Source organism: Homo sapiens, chromosome 17 (assembly GCF_000001405.40).
Source record: "Homo sapiens chromosome 17, GRCh38.p14 Primary Assembly".
Classification (NCBI taxonomy): Eukaryota; Metazoa; Chordata; class Mammalia; order Primates; family Hominidae; genus Homo; species Homo sapiens.
In genome coordinates, this window is record NC_000017.11 from 14,359,267 (window position 1) to 14,359,858 (window position 592).

General features: G+C 52.5%; 1 annotated feature.

Annotated features, from left to right (window-relative positions):
* Positions 280-349: a silencer, noted in NCBI's record as "silent region_8210". NCBI's record gives its function as "represses an Ori minimal core promoter by ATAC-STARR-seq in GM12878 lymphoblastoid cells {active_cell/tissue: GM12878}" and the evidence as "EXISTENCE:reporter gene assay evidence [ECO:0000049][PMID:35858748]".

The following is a 592-nucleotide window of genomic DNA, read 5'->3' on the forward strand; positions in this document are numbered from 1 at the left end:
GAGCCATCTGTTCTCCATGCAGAGCACCTCTTGAGGATTAAACCCCCATGAGCGTTGGTGAGGCACTGCCTCACAGCGGCACCTGGAGGCCAGCTCTCGGCCAGGTGGGTTTCCCCAGCCTATGCACCCCATGCACCCTCAGCATCTCTCACTTCTACACTCCCCTCCCACCACTGAGAGGACGGTGGGGATGTTGTGGGCAAGAAGGTCACACAGTCACCCAGGTGTGAAGAGATGATGCACGTTGGGACTCAATCTGTGCCTGTGAAAGAGGAAGCATAGTTGTTAAATCTGAGGTCACAGAGGAAGAACTAGGAGCCAGTGACTAATATGAGGCAGTCTGATCTCTCCCAAGCAATGGACTCTGCTTTACCCTGCAAAAGGACACACTTACAGTTAGCTCCTCCCTGGCTGCCTCCCTTACATGCAATTCTGTTTCCTTCACCAGCCCCCGGCTGAAGCCCCAAGCCTTCTTCCCCTTTCTCCATGTCCCTCCCTCCTTTTGCAGCCCAGGTCAAATTCTGTTTCCTTTTCGAATTCATTTTTGGAGACTGAAGTCCACATGTTGTCATCTCCTTGTTTTGAACATCGA